The sequence below is a fragment of the Homo sapiens genome, chromosome 18 (assembly GCF_000001405.40).
Source record: "Homo sapiens chromosome 18, GRCh38.p14 Primary Assembly".
In the NCBI taxonomy this organism is placed as follows: domain Eukaryota; kingdom Metazoa; phylum Chordata; class Mammalia; order Primates; family Hominidae; genus Homo; species Homo sapiens.
The window spans coordinates 22,571,711-22,587,915 of NC_000018.10; the positions used below are offsets into that span (position 1 = coordinate 22,571,711).

The 16,205-nt window shown below is 36.0% G+C and overlaps 1 long non-coding RNA gene and 1 pseudogene across 1 annotated transcript in view; both read left to right on the top strand.

The window, feature by feature from the left end:
* The window catches only part of LOC124904265 (uncharacterized), a 56,143-nt gene extending 44,751 nt beyond the window's left edge, over positions 1 to 11,392 (top strand). Inside the window, exon 3 of the long non-coding RNA XR_007066310.1 lies at positions 11,328 to 11,392. This is a non-coding gene — a long non-coding RNA (uncharacterized LOC124904265). The remainder of the gene's footprint in view (positions 1 to 11,327) is intronic.
* Positions 14,699 to 15,568, top strand: RPS4XP18 (ribosomal protein S4X pseudogene 18; annotated as a pseudogene).

Genomic DNA, 16,205 nt, shown 5'->3' on the forward strand with positions numbered 1-16,205 from the left:
GGGTCCAACATACTTCAGTATTACCTCATCTTGACTGATTACATCTGCAACAACCCTATTTCCAAATCAGTTCACGTTCTGAGGTCCTGGCCATTAGGACTTCAACATATGAATTTTTGGATGACAGAATCCAGCGTGTAACATATCCCATATATGACATCTTCTGATTAGGGCGACCCAGAATCCCACTCTGTTCAAAACAGCTTGGGTTTACACATCAATCCTGCTTAATTATTCTTAGCGATTTCCAGTCTCAATAATGTCCAAGTTTAAACAATAAATTATGGAGTCACACTACATATGATCCTTTCCACTTTCATGAAATTATCAAAATAAAGAATTTTACTGATATTCCCAGTAGACTGTAGACATAAATCTGGGAAATAGTATTTTTATGTTTTCCTGTTTTTATTTTATGGAGAAGTATATGTATGTAGATGTACATATACATGATTTTTATAAAATCTTATGAAAAAATACAACTATATTTTTATATGTATGTATGTATGTATGTATGTGTAACAAGCCATACATATGGTTTTAAAACACACCAAACTTATTGTGATAGAATAGTGTGGTATATAAGCAGAACTTTCAGTCTTTAAAAAAATTTTTTTATTAATAAAATGAAAGAAACAAGAAACAAAACAGAGTTTTATATGGTCAACAATAAATAAACTTCCATCAGTTTAAGAAAATTAGAAACTCAGACCCCCCAGGGTTCACAAAGGTTCTGAATTTAGCCAAATCAACAGCTTCAAACCCATATTTGTTATGAGATTGGGGACAGCTCAGTTCTTTCCATGGCAACCAACTGTGCTGTCATAAACACTACAGGATGGTCTCTAAATGATCCAACAGTTGCTAGACTATGAGGGAGATAAGATCTTATTAAAAATACAAAAGTTGGAGCTTACATACAGGAATATGGAGATGTATTGACAAGGGGATTTGCATTACATGTAAACAGTACTTTCTCATTTGGCCTAATAAAGGAAAGGCCCCGTTTGATGAAAACTAATGTGGGTTAATGCTTATCTTCCTTAAATAGCTGTTACACAAATTACCTACCAACAGAAAAGGTCATAAGGAGAGGGAAAAGCGAATATAGGCAGCCTTCACTGAAATGTGTTTTGTGACTTTGTCCAAAATTATCACCCCACTACTAAAGCCATTGCTTGGTAAGAACTATTTTTCTCTCAAAAAGACAAAACTTATATTCTTTTCTAAATATAAAATGCATTCTCATTTTATAAACTTTAGAAATACATAAAACATTGAAAATCAAAATCAACTGTAATTCCACCACCTTAAGAATTTTTAGACTGGAATCATGCTGAACATAGAATTTTATATATTCTTTTTTCATATAGCATTACATCATGAGCTTTATCACATGTCATTTAAAAATCCTTCACAAGCATGACATTTAATAAATGCCTAATAGTCTCTCATATGGACAAACCATAGTTTATTTAACCATTTCCACATTGTGGTGGATGTTTTTAATGAACCTAATTTTTCAACATTATTAGTATTGTAGTAAAGAGCATCTTACAAATAAACCTTTATTTATGTTTCTTATTGTTTTATTAAAATACATTGCTAGAAATGGAATTATTAGGGAAAAGGTTCTGAAACACTTTTAAGATTCTCCCACTTTAAACAGCTTTTTCAGAATTTTTCTCTATTCTTACTTGCTTACAACCTCAGATGCACTTCATTTAAAATTTTATTCTAGAAAACAATTCTTTAGAATTTTCATTGGGATTACATTAAAATCATAAATTTAAATGGAAAGAATTGACATTTTTATGATTTTTAGGAACTTGATATATATATCCATTTGTCCAAGTATTCTTTTATATCTCTCAATAAACTTTTATAGTTTTTTCATATTGTTCCTGCATATTCATTGTATTTTAAAATTTTTGTTGCTATATACAATCATCCTGTCATTGTATTGTTTAATCAGAGATTGCTGGAATATAAGAAAAATGGTTACTAATTTTAGAGATCTTTATCTTCTAATCAGCCAATTTGTTAAACTATCCTATTACTTACAACAAGCTTATAGCTGGTGGGGAGGTTTGAGTGCGTGTGTGTAAGGAGGGTATATCATCATACCAGCTAAAAATATTGTATTTCGCCTTTTTCTTTCCAGTGATAAAACCTCCTTTCTTAGGGTTCTTGTCTCTTCTATTGCCCACAGCTTTCAAAAAGTTAACTAACCGGCCAGGTAAGGTGGTTCACGCCTGTAATCCCAGCACTTTGAGATGCAGAGGCAGGAGGATCGCTTGAGCTCAAGAGTTTGAGACCAGCCTGGGCAACATAGCGAGACCTTGTCTCTACTAAAAATTCAAGAAAAATTAGTCAAATGTGGTGGTGCGCCTGTAGTCTTAGCTATTTGGGGGAGCTAAGGCAGGAGGATTGCTTGAGCTCAGGAGGTGGAGACTGCAGTGAGCCCGGAACGTGCCATTGCACTCAGCCTGAACAAGAGTGTGATCCTGTCTCCAAAAACATGATTCTAACAAAAATAACAAAAAGTTACCTTGTAAAGGTCATAGATGGCATTTTTGACTTGTTCTCAAGAGGAATAAGAATAACCTCTTACATATTACACCAATAAACATAATGTTGGTTACTAAGTTTAATATTGGAATAGACATATATAAATACCTATGTCTCAGGGGGTTGCATAGATAACAGGAATAAATGAAGCAGGCCAGCTATAAGATAATAGAGCTTGGTGGAGACTGACAAACTGGACAGTGCTCCTTCTAATGTGAGCTGCACAGCAGATACTCAGCTTAAGCCTATTATATCATATGAAATGTTAGCTTACTGTTAACATCCTAACCCTCATCTTTTTTTTTTTTTGCATGTAAGAGACAATATCTGATTTTATATGAAATCTCCCAATTATAAAATGTCTATAACAAATCATTTTCCCAATACTGTACAGGCCAAAACAAAAAAATTTAAAACAGTGGTTCTTATTCAGTTCATTTGCAAACACAGGTTTTGAATAAATATTCCTAACCGTGAGGAAGAATCAGTTTAATCCAAGTCTCTGAAGAGTTTTGCTTTTTTAGAAGTACATGTTGGCTGGGTGCGGTGGCTCACGCCTGTAATCCCAGCACTTTGGGAGGCCGAGGCAGGTGGATCACGAGGTCAGGAGATCGAGACCATCCTGGCTAACACGGTGAAACCCCGTCTCTACTAAAAATACAAAAAATTAGCCAGGCGTGGTGGTGGGAGCCTGTAGTCCCTGTTACTCAGGAGGCTGAGGCCGGAGAATGGCGTAAACCCGGGAGGCGGAACTTGCAGTGAGCCGAGATCGCGCCACTGCACTCCAGCCTGGGCGACAGAGCAAGACTCTGTCTCAAAAGAAAAAAAAAGAAGTACATGTTATATGTTATAACATCTTTTAAAATTTTTATTTCACTCATTGAATAAATAGACTTTCTAATATTAAAAATGCATTTCAAGGATATGATGAACAATACTAGAGTTTAATTTTGTTCATTAAAATTTTATTTGAGCTTTTTATTTATAATCAAATGTAATTCTTAAACTTTCAAATTTTTAATATTTGTTCTTGAGATATGTAAGTTTCATAAGATGAATTGAGGATCAGTAATATTCTGAAGTAGAATAGCATAGAAATTATCTGTTTCTTGAAAGTTTGAAGAAAGTTTACCTGGAAAATTATTTGGCATAAGGTCTTTTGAATTATTTTGATTTTTTTCCAAGGTTATTGGTCTATTTATTATTGTGTCAATTTTGGCCCCTTTTACTTTCCTTGAACAATGTATCTTTCCAACTTAACATCAAAGAATATTCCATAATATTCTCATAATTTTATGACCTCCGTATCTGCTGTTACATATTTTTTCTTAATTCTAATGCCTTTTTTATGATGGTTAAATCAATTTGTCAGGTTCCTTTGTTTGTTTTTTCATAGTGCTATTTTCTTCACAGAACCATCTTCTACGTTTATCCTATGAGGTTTTTAAAATTTGTTTTTAAACTTAGTAATTCCTGATTTTGGCATCATTACTACATATTTCTTTCCCAAAGTGTATTTTGTTATTATATATCTAGCTTCTTGACTTCAATGATTAGTTCATTTATTTTCATTAATAATGACAACCCTTAAGGCTATGAGTTTTTTTCTCCAGTAGAGCATTGGCTTAATCCTGAAGATATGATATATAATATTGTTACTTTTTTTCTTTCTTTCTTTTTCTTTTTTTTTTTTTTTGTTTGAGATGGAGTCTTGCTCTGTCACCCAGGCTGGAGGGCAGCGGCGTGATCTCAGCTCATTGCAACCTCTGACTCCCGGGTTTAAGCAATTCTCTGTGTCAGCCTCCCAAGTAGCTGGGGTTAAAGGCATCTGCCACCATGCCCAGCTAATTTTTGTATTTTTAGTAGAGACGGGGTTTCACCATCTTGGCCAGGCTGGTCTTGAACTCCTGACCTTGTGATCCACCCTCCTCAGCCTCCCAAAGTGCTGGGATTACAGGCATGAGCCACTGCACCCGGACTTGTTATTCTTTTTCTTAATAACAGACTTTTTCTTAAGTCTGTTATTGTGGACTTGACGTTTTCATTGACATATATGTTTAGAAATTTTGAAAAATATTTACAAGGATTAGAAGAATTACTATTTAAACTTTGTTAATTTTTCAATTCATTATATTACAGTCATAGAATATGACCAGTTCAATTTTACATTATAGAATTTGTTGAGATTCTCTTTGTGATTGAGTATATAATAATTTTACTAAGTGTTTCATGGTAACTTGAAAAAGTACTTTAACTGAACAATATAAAGTTGAATATAAATCTAATCCAACCTCATACTATGATTCAAACTTCTTGTCCTTATGTTTTTCTATATGAGATTATAAAGACAGGAATCCACCATGACAATCGTGTTTCTGTTTCCCTTCTGCCAAGAACTTTTGTATATGTATAGATAAAACTCACCTGAAAGATAATGATTACTATATTTCTTTGTGGAATTTTTATTTATTAATAATTCTTCTTTCATTTAATCCTCTTTGGTTTTTCCTAAAATTAATATTGCCATCCTGTTGTTTTTCTAGAAAATATTGATGTTTTAAGTAAAAATACTAAAAACATCTCTAAAATATTCTGATTTATGAAAAACTCATAAGCAGTATACAGCTGTAACTTTTCTGATTATTTGTACTTCATTTGTTTAATTTTATATATATATATACATATATATTTTTTACATGAACCTGATTCAACTCTAGGTTGGATGGAGACTATTTTTAAGCAATTCCTTTAAGAAGGGCAGAGGGCTGGTACAGTTCTTGAATTATTAAATATCAATGTTTTTCTACAGTCATCATATGAGAATAAGAACATAGTAATATGCAATTTTTAGGTCATATCATTTCCATCTTAAACCTCAGTAGACACTTTTCCACTGTCTTTGGGCTGTTGGTTATACAATTAAAATCCTAGGGCTAGTGCTATTCTTAGACCTCAGTGGTAGATCCTTGCCCCAAACTGCGCCCCTCAGAGGGTCCCCACACTTTGCAGCGCCTTCCTTCAAATTTTGCAAGTCTTCATCTGGTGTCAGGGGCCAGCAGGGGCCCCCTAAATCCTGGCTGCAACCCATGTGGACCCTGATCCTTTTTCTTCCTTTTGAGACTCCAGATTATTTTGAATAACTCAAGCAGTTTATGTAGAAAGAGGCCCCATGAACAATATTTGTTCAGATTTCCGAAGGGTAGCTCTGCTGAGGCCAAGCTGATTTTTCTGTAACTTATTTCACAGATATAACAAATAGATACCATTTTATATATACGTTAAAGTGCACAGACCTTAAGCTTGACCAATTTTTTTTTATACTTTAAGTTCTGGGATACATGTGCAGAACGTGCATGTTTGTTAAAAAGGTGTATACTAAGTGCCATAGTGGTTTGCTGCACCCATCAACCTGTCATCTACATCAGGTATTTCTCCTAATGCTATCCCTCCCCTAGCCCCTCACCCCCTGACAGGCCCCAGTGTGTGATGTTCCCCTCCCTCTGTGCATGTGTTCTCATCGTTCAACTCCCACTTATGAGTGAGAACATGCGGTGTTTGGTTTTCTGTTCCTGTGTTAGTTTGCTGAGAATGATGGTTTCCAGCTTCATCCATGTCCCTGCAAAGGACATGAACTCATTCTTTTTTATGCCCGCATAATATTCCATGGTGTATATGTGCCACATTTTCTTTATCCAGTCTATCATTGATGGGCACTTGGGTTGGTTCCAAGTCTTTGCTATTGTTAATAGTGCTGCAATAAACATACATGTGGATGTGAAGCTTGACCAATTTTTATAAAATGTTTATACCTATGTGACCACCATCCAGATTAGGATACAGATACATAATATTACCAGCATTCTGGAAGTCTCCTTTGTGCCCTCACCCAGTCACACTCCCAACATGCAAGCATTATTCTGACTTCTCTCACCATAGATTACATTTTTTCCTGTTTTTGAACTTTATATATATGAAATCATACATTGTGTACTCCTTTGTGGCTGGCCATTTCACACAGCGTTATATCTGTGAGTTTATCCATATGATAGCATGTAGTAGTAGTTCATTTTCTTTTCATTGTTTGTAGTCTACCATAGTTATAAATCTTCCACAATGTTTCCATTCCACCACTGATGGACATGTGGGTTGATTCTAGCTTAGGGTTAGTGTTAATACCGTGGCACTGAACATTCTTGGACGTGTATTGCTGTAGCATGTATTCCACTAGGAGTAGAATTGCTGGGTCATTGGGTACACATTAGTAGATGCTGTCAAACAGCTTTCAAAAGAGGCTGTACCAGTGCACATTCCCACTACTAATGCATGAGGGTTTCTGTTGCTTGACATGCTCAGCAAGCTTTTATAGTACCAGTGATTTGTTTTCAGTTAGCCCTTCAGGTAGATATATAGTGGTTTCTCACTGCGGTTCTAATTTGCATTTCACTGATGAATAATATTTCCCTGATGACAATACTGACCACTTTTTACATACTTGATTAGTCTAAATATCTTCTCTTGGAAAATGACAATTGGAAAATCTTACTCTTTTGTTATTGGATTGTTGGGTTATCTACTTTTTTCAAATTAATGTATAAAAATTCTCTGTATATTCTAAAACCAAGGTTTTGTTGCAGAAGTCTATAAATCTACTTGCTTTTCTGCACCTTTAATGATATTTTCTGATTAAAACAATCTAAATTTTAATAAAGTCTATTTAATCGATCTTTTTCTTTCTGGTTGGTACTTTTTAAGAAGCTTTGCCTACTCCCAGGTCCTAAATATATCTTCTTGCTTTACCCTTTTTATTTTGGTCTGTAATCCCCGTGGAATCGATTTTCTGTGAATGAAGTGAAGAGGGAGTCCAGTTTCATTTATTTATAGATGTACACACATTTGCTCTAGCAGCATTTGTTCGAAAGACCAATCTTTTCCCCAATGGCATTACTGCAACACATTTTTCCTTTTCTATTCTTTTTAATTTTTAACTTTTTTCACTGATATATAATAATTATACATATTTATAGGGTACATTTTATATTTTGATATATGCATACAGCGTGTAATGATTATATCAGGGTAATTAGGATATCCTGCAACACAACACATTTTTTTTTTTTTGTAAATTTGATGACTGCAGTACCACGTTTAGACACAGGCAAGAGAACCCCCGCCCCAGGCCACATGCCTCAGGGAACCACCACACCACCCTCCATTTGAAGTGCTTTCCTTCCATTTTCCTTAGGCTCCTGTGGCTGACAGTGTTGTCTGGGTGCCCTGAGCCAGGATGGGGACCTGCATGTGCTTTGTTCCCGTTCTCCCTTTTGAGGTATTCTTCGACCCTCTACCACTATATAAGAATCCAATCACATGCCCTGAGGAGCACCTGGTCCACTGCTGACCTTAAATTGGTCTTAAGCTGCACCTGTGTGGGCCTGTGTCGGCTCACTCATCCATGATCGGACGGTGGTGCTGCTCCTGTGCAGCAGTGGAGGCAGTGGCAGGCATGTTCTACTCTGCTCCAGGCAGTGGTACCAGGGTGGTCATCTCACCCCTTCCCTTCCCTGCCACATGTCAGGTAGTCGCCATGGGGTGGTCTCAACTACCTCCTCCAAGGGCTTCCAGGACTACTGCTCCTCACTGGAAATGGGCACTTCCGATTGATTCATGTTCTTTTTTTTTTTTTTTTGCCTCTGATCAATGTGGTGATGTCATGTTCTCCCAGGTTGGTCTTAAGCCATGCCAGATAATAGACAGACATTCTTTACATGAATGAGGATTTTATTTTTGCTCTACCCATGGAACCCTCCTCCCTGCTGACAGGGTATGGAAGGCAAGGCTGTAATCAACACTGAAAGTGATTCCTAGACTAATCATTTTCAATGTTGATTACTACAGCTTATGGAGTTCAAGAGAAGACATGATTGGAAGATATTTTGTTCCGTATTTAAGCTATAAAATTCTGAATGGTAAATTTAACATGTTTAGACAACAAAATTTCCTCCATATTCTGCATAAGACCTGAATTTGTGGTAATCTTCAATGAAACATAGAAATAACCTTTGAGAGAGACGTTGGAAGTCCACAGTCATGAGCAGCATGATGGATGACTCAGCATCATGAATGATTCAGCATCATGAATGATGATGCAACCAACATTGAATAAACGGTAGTGGAGAACTGAAGAGGCAAGAAGATCTATTGTGTCTCAATGAAGTTTCTGAAGACCCTGGTATTATGAATATTAAGAGTCACTATCAGCCAGACTCAGTGGCTCATGCCTGTAATCCCAGGGATTACAGGGAGGCCGAGGCGGGCGGATCACAAGGTCAAGAGATCGAGACCATCCTGGCTAACACGGTGAAACCCCATCTCTACTAAAAATACAAAAAATTAGCCAGGCGTGGTTGCAGGCGCCTGTAGTCCCAGCTACTCAGGAGGCTGAGGCAGGAGAATGGTGTGAACCCGGGAGGCGGAGCTTACAGTGAGCCGAGATCGCTCCACTGTAGTCCAGCCTGGGCAACAGAGAGACTGTCCAAAAAAAAAAGAGTCACTATCTTTTCTTTGTGGTAGAAAATCTGAAATCAGCCAAGAATAGCACAGTTGAAAATAGTGATCGCAAAGAGATCACAATAATGATCACAGATGGATGGTTTCTGACCCTGAACAGGAAGAGACAGTGTCTGGACCTATGAAGAATCTTCACAGGCACTGATTGGATAATAAACAAACAGGGAAGTAGACCCACTCAACCCATTATTCTAACTCTTCATCAAAAATTCTTAAGTCTCATTTGGGCCCATACATTTTGTAATACATTTTAATCAAATTATTTATATAGTCAGGAGCCCTACAGAACATATTTTCCCAGGGTCCTACATACCCTACCAGTGGCCCTAGCTGACTAAATATGTGTGGATCTGTTTCTGGACTCTAGTCTATTCCACTGGCCAATATGTCTCTCCTCTCATCAACATTACATTGGCTTAATTATTATAGCTTTATAATAAGTCTTGACATCTACTTATGTAAAATCTTCAACTTCATTTCTTCTCTAACACAGTCTTGAATATTCTTGGATGTTTGCACTTCTGTATAAATTTTACACCAATTGTCCTCTCTCCTTCCACATACACAAACATGCACACACAAACATGCTGGGAAATTGATTGGGATTTTATTGAATCTAAAAATCAATTTGGGGGGAATTGCTATTTTTACCATATTGAATCTTCCAACCCATCAACATCATATATCTTTCCATTTATTCCAGTCTTCATTAAATGCCCTCAGCAACGTTTTATAGTTTTTGGTTTTCAGGAAAAAAATTAAATTAATTCCCAACTATAATAATGTCTAACACTTGGGTGTATTTTATTTTAAATTTCTTTTAGATTTTATTGTTAAATGTATAATATATGATTGATAAATATATACATATATACAAGATTTTGGGTTTTTTTAGTCTTCCATATATAATGTAAATATATGTACATATAAGTGTTATAAATAGTATCTTCTTATAAAATTAAGGTTACATTTTATGTAATGTTTCATTATGTACTTCTACTTCACATTAATCAACATTTTCTCACATAGCTAAATGTTTCTTAAAATACTTTTTAAAAAATTTCTGCATAGTATTTCATCATATTAATGTACCATAAATTATTTTAGCCAATGTTCTATTTTGGGTTACTTAGATTAATCCAATTTGAAAATGTAAATATTTCAACAAAAAACATCCATATATATAAATCTTTGTACACATCTCTAATTAGTTCTTTTGGATAAATTTCTAGAAGTGAAATGACTAGATCCAACGATATAAATTTTTCAATATTTGGATATACATTGCCAAGTTGCCCTTCAGGTAGGTGCTGGGTTACATTCCCACCAGCAGACTAAAAGCTGATTGTTCATTCTCTTCCTCATTAATATTGGATATTAAATTATTCTGCCAGTTTGGTGGAGAAAATGTTTTAATTTATATTTCTTTGATTACAAGTAAAGTTGAAATATGTATTTTTATATGTTTCTTGGGATTTTTATATTTTTTCTTTTATAAATTACTTGCTTACGTCTTTTGCCAATTTTCCTATTTAGGTGTACGTCTTTCTGGTTAGCACTTCGTTTATGTTAACGATATGATATCCATTAGTCATATAAGTTTTAAACATTTATTTTCAGTTTATTTGTTTTTTAATTTCGCCACTGTTTATTTAATGTATAAATTTAAACTGTCATAAAGTCAAATATTTTTCAGTGTTCAGTTCTTTTTCATTTGTGCTTAGGAAAGCCTATCTTACTCCAATACCAAATTTAAAAATCAGCTGTGTGTTTTCTGCTTCTTTTAAGATTTCTTAGCTGGGCATGATGGCTCATGCCTGTAATCCCAGCACTCTGGGAGGCTGAGATAGGTGGATCACTTGAGGTCAGGAGTTCGAGACCAGCCTGGCCAACATGGCAAAACTCTGTCTCTACTGAAAATACAAAAATTAGCCAGGCGTGATAGTATGCACCCGTAGTCCCAGCTACTTGGGAGGCTGAGGCAGGAGAATCACTCGAACCTGGGAGGCGGAAGTTGCAGTGAGCCGAGATCCCACCACTGCACTCCAGCCTGGGCGACAGAACAAGACTCCATCTCAAAAAAAAAAAAAAAAATTCTTTTTTTTCTCATTTAATATTGTAATCCAGCTGGATATGTGTGATAGGATGGAAGTAGGGTATAATTTTGTTTTGTTTTTATTTTTCTCCAGACATGTCACCGGTTGTCCCAGATCCTGCTACAAACACAGTAAGAAACATACAGGGCAGGATTAAGATACATGAATAAAAAGAAATGAAATGAAAAAGAAAAGTTTAAGACAATTGAAGGAAAATGATTTATATGGAAACAAGCGAAGGTGAGCCAATAAAGACTACAAAGGAGAGAACTAAAATAGTGAAACAAATTATTTTAAATTCGAATTTTCAAAAAATCACTTCAAGCTAAAAGAAGACTTTGTAGCTTGAAAAGGCATGCCATGTTCTAGGAAAAACAGACCCAGAACAGTCAACATCAAGTAAGTTTCCTGGAGGAAATCACCTATGAGGGAAAGATAGGCTGGCCTCACAGTTCTGCACAGTAACATTCAGTGACAGCAGAAGTCAACAGCTCTATTTTCAGATTCTCAAGGAAAGAAAGGCTGACCAAGAACTTTATACCCAGACAAATTATCATTCATGTATAAAGACAATGGAAAAACAATTTTGAACATGCAAGAGCTCAAGCATCCTTTTTCTTTTTAACCTTTCACAAACTTATTTATTTGAAAATACAAATATAAAATTATACTTTCCACATCTGTAATGTGAGAGACCGCCATCTACATAGTAATTTTGTACAACAGGGCTTTAAGAAAGCCACACACACAGACCTGAAAGATTCTTGAGATAGATAGATAGATAGATAGATAGATAGATAGATAGATAGATAGATAGACAGACAGATAGATACACACATACATACATACATACGTATGTATGTATGTATATAGATAAATAGATGATAGATAGATAGACATGTATGTATACATAGTAAAAAAAACTCACTACCAAAGTTCTCATCAGTTTCATACTAAAGTATAAAAGTAACGGTGAGGTCAGCCACAGTGCTAGGGAAAGTTTTATTTAGATACATTTATGTCCAGAGGAAACGCTTAGACTTGCATCCTATTACCTATGGAATTTGGAGTTTACAATACACCATGAACGGCAGATTGGCTAGCCCATGCTACTTAAAAAGACATTCACAGATTCCACACGGGATGGTACATTACGTACAGAATACAGCAGTAGAGAACCTTCGAGGGAGGCTCTGGAATTTTTGTTTTTCAGCCTCCAGCCCCCTGCCCCATCAGGCCCCTGCCTCCCAGAACTGAAATCCTGTCTGAGATAATACATTCTGATTATTTGATAGCTATGTGTTTGGTTTAAGGTTGCCCCCCAACCCCAAGAGGGGTGGATTTTATTTATATGTTTTTGTGTTTTAGTTTACTTACTTTTTTGGTGGAAAAAAAAGAAAGAAAAAGAAAACAAACATACTACAGTATTAAAATATTGCTTAACTTCCAGCATCTCCTTGTGTAGTGTCTGTGCCCAGGACGGGGCTGAGCTGACATCTGCCAGGTTTCTGCTTTGGGGTGAGGGTGGGGAAACCCGCCAGCATCTCTCTTCAGTGTGCTCTCAGTCCCTCTGCTCTACCCACTGCCTGCCTTCCTTGGAAGATAGCTTAGCTGCTGAAGTACATTTAAGAAAAAAATATATATATCCCCTCCCCCACCAACCCCCCACTCGCCCTCTGTCCCTGCGTGCCACTTGCGATCGATAAAGAGAAGTATGAGTCGGTGTTTCTTTTGTAAACAATTTCATATGCAATATAATACAGAAAGCATGACTGACCTTCAATTAAAAATGCAGTAAGCTATATTGCTTTATTCTTGCATATGCTGCAGTGAGCAAATGACAGAATGAAGCAATGTGGAAGTGGTGGCGGCTAAGTCCCTAGCCCTCATTTGCACTAAAGATCAAAATAGGTTTTGTTTTTCTATTTGGAACCAAAAATAAATTTTTTCCCCCAAAATCCTCAAAGAAAAAAGAGCAACAAGCAAAACCTGCCCCCAAGAAATCAAAAACAAAACAAAACCAAAACCAAAAACTGAACACCTTTCAGGTCATTAGAATCAACAATTACACAATGATTTTTAGACTAGTCTAGCAAGATGTGTGTAACATTCACTGGCTGTGATTGACCAAGCATCCTTTTTAAACTCCTGAACTTTGACCAACCAAGAGATACACACACACACACACACACACACACACACACACACTCACGCAGAGCCAAAAGATTCGCAGTGAAACTTAACCCTATTTGTTTGTACAATCAAGATCAAAACAAATCTAGGAAGTATGGCAACAGAGAAGAGTGTAAATGTTAAAAATCCTAACAACTATACAAAATAGAAATTATGTAAATTTAAAATAATTTGCAGAGGAAAGAGAAGAGAATGTAAAAATATAAGTCTGCTCACTCTCTCATCATTTGCAGTTGGGAGGTTAAAATAACTAAATTAAAGCTAATGAAATAAAAAGGCATAAAATATTTAAAGGTAAGTACTAAGGAAGATAAAACAGTAAACTAGGAGTTGGCAGGGGAAGATCATTTTTCATAGTAGAGAATTACAAGTAAAGTTGAAATATGTATTTTCAGATACTCTGAAGAAACAGAAGTCTAAGGGTATTATGCAACATTTTGATTGCAGATATACGCACTAGAACAAAATACAAACATTCCAATTTATCAGAAAAAAATCTACAAGAGTCAAGAAAATCATAGATGATAGACTAAGAAAAAGGCTAAAAATTAGAAAGCATTACATAAAATAATATGCCATTATATCTGTCATACTAGTAAATATAAATGGGTAAAACTAATATATGATTTTTTATGATGCACAAAGCAAAAATCAAAACAGATACCAAAAAGGCAAATGCATCAAACATAGACAAAAGATATTCTAAGTAATGTTAACAAAGAGAAAGTGGGATGTGGCAGAGACAGTTTGTCCTTTCCAAATATTTATTGACTTCCCTGTCTTTTCCAGCCTTCCCTGTGGAATAAGCAGACTTATGACTAATTCTAGCCAATAGACTATGCAGAGAATTGACTAGCATTTCCTCACTGAGACAGGTAAGAACCAGTGTGCCTCTCCACTTGACTCTTTCCCTGTCATGTTCTCCCAGTGGCATAGCCACCAGGTGGAACAAGGCAACCGAGATCACACTGGGTTTGGCATGAGCAGGAAATAAATATTTTGTCCATTCACTGAAAATCGGACTTTAATTTTTATTTCAATAGTAATAGCTGGGCTGTTTGTAATCTTAATATCAATGTTGAGTTCAGGTGAAGAAAAATAATAACAGCAGAGCACTTTTTTAAATGATAAAAGAGGGGACTGTTCACAATGAATATATCACACTTATGAATGCCTATGCACCAAATAACTTAGAATCAACATTCATAAAGTAAAAGTGTCAGAAAACAGGAGAAAGAGGACCACTTTCTTTGAAATGATATATTGGCCACAATTTCTCTGTGCACTGGAAGATGGTGATCCTCTTTCCCTGCCCAGTGCAGCCACAGCTCTTGGTGCCAAGAAGCATCTGAAGTGGGTAGGAGCCCCAAAGCATTGGATGCCGAATACATTGACCGGTGTGTTTGCTTGCCACCCATACACCAGTCTCCACAGGCTGAGAGTCTCCCCGTCATCATTTTCCTAAGGAACAGACTTAGGTATGCACTGACAGGAGATGAAGCAAAGAAGATCCGCATGCAGCAGTTCATTAAGATCGATGACAAGGTCTTGACTGATATAACCTATGCCACTGGTTCCTTAGATGTCAGCATTAACAAGACCAGAGAGAATTTCCATCTGATCTGTGACACCAGGGGTCACCTATTACACCCGAGGAGGCCAAGTTATTCAAAGTGAGAAGAAACTTTGTAAGCACAAAAGAAATCCCTGATCTGGCAGCTCATGATGCTGGCACCATCTGCTGCCCTGGCCCTCATCAAGGTGAATGACATCGTTCAGACTGACTTGGAGACTGGCAAGATTACTGATTTCATCAGGTTCAACACTGGTAACCTGTGTATGGTGACTGGAGGGGCTAACCTGGGAAGGATTGGTGCAATCACCAACAGAGAAAAACATCCTGGATTTTTCGATGTGGTTCATGTAAAAGATGCCAACAGCAACAGCTTTGCTACCTGACTCTCCAACATTTTTGTTATTGGCACAAGCAACAAATCATGGATTTGTCTTGCCTGAGGACAAGGTATCTGCCTCACCATTGCTGAAGAGAAAGAGAGAAGAGACTCGTGGCGGAAGAGAGCAGTGGGTGAAATGGTCTCTAGGTAAACATGTTAGAAAGGTCTTTATACTTAATTAAAAATCATACATCATGAAAAAAATTAATGAATGACATTTTGATTTTTTTCTCTCAGTCCATGAGAAAGCAGGTGAATAGAACATTTGTAAAAAAGTAGAAAACCTAAATTACAAAATTAATAAATTAAATTGTAACACATTAAACTCCATACCTTGAAAACAGGAAAATACATTTTTTTCTCAAGCCTTCATGGAACCCTCACAAAAACTAACCATATATTAAATCACAAAGGAAATTATGGTAAATTTTAAAAAATAGGAATTATACCGATAATAATTGTTATTGCAAAGCAATAAAACTAGAAAATAATATGAAAACAAAAATTATATTACCTAGAAATCCTTTAACTATCTCATAAACAACTTTTGGGTGAAAAAGAAAATCAAATCTGAATTTACCAGAAGTATGGAAAATGACAATAACAAAAACACTACATGTCTGAATCACTGGGTTACATCTAAGATAGTGCTGATAGGAAAAAACCTGAAATACTTATATTAACAAACATTAAGCATTCCATTCAAGAAGTTAGAAAGCAACAATAACCAAGAAAAAGAAATGGAAAAGCATGTTTTCATTTATAAGTGGGAGCTGAACAATATGAACACATAAACACAGGGAGGGGAACAATACACACTGGG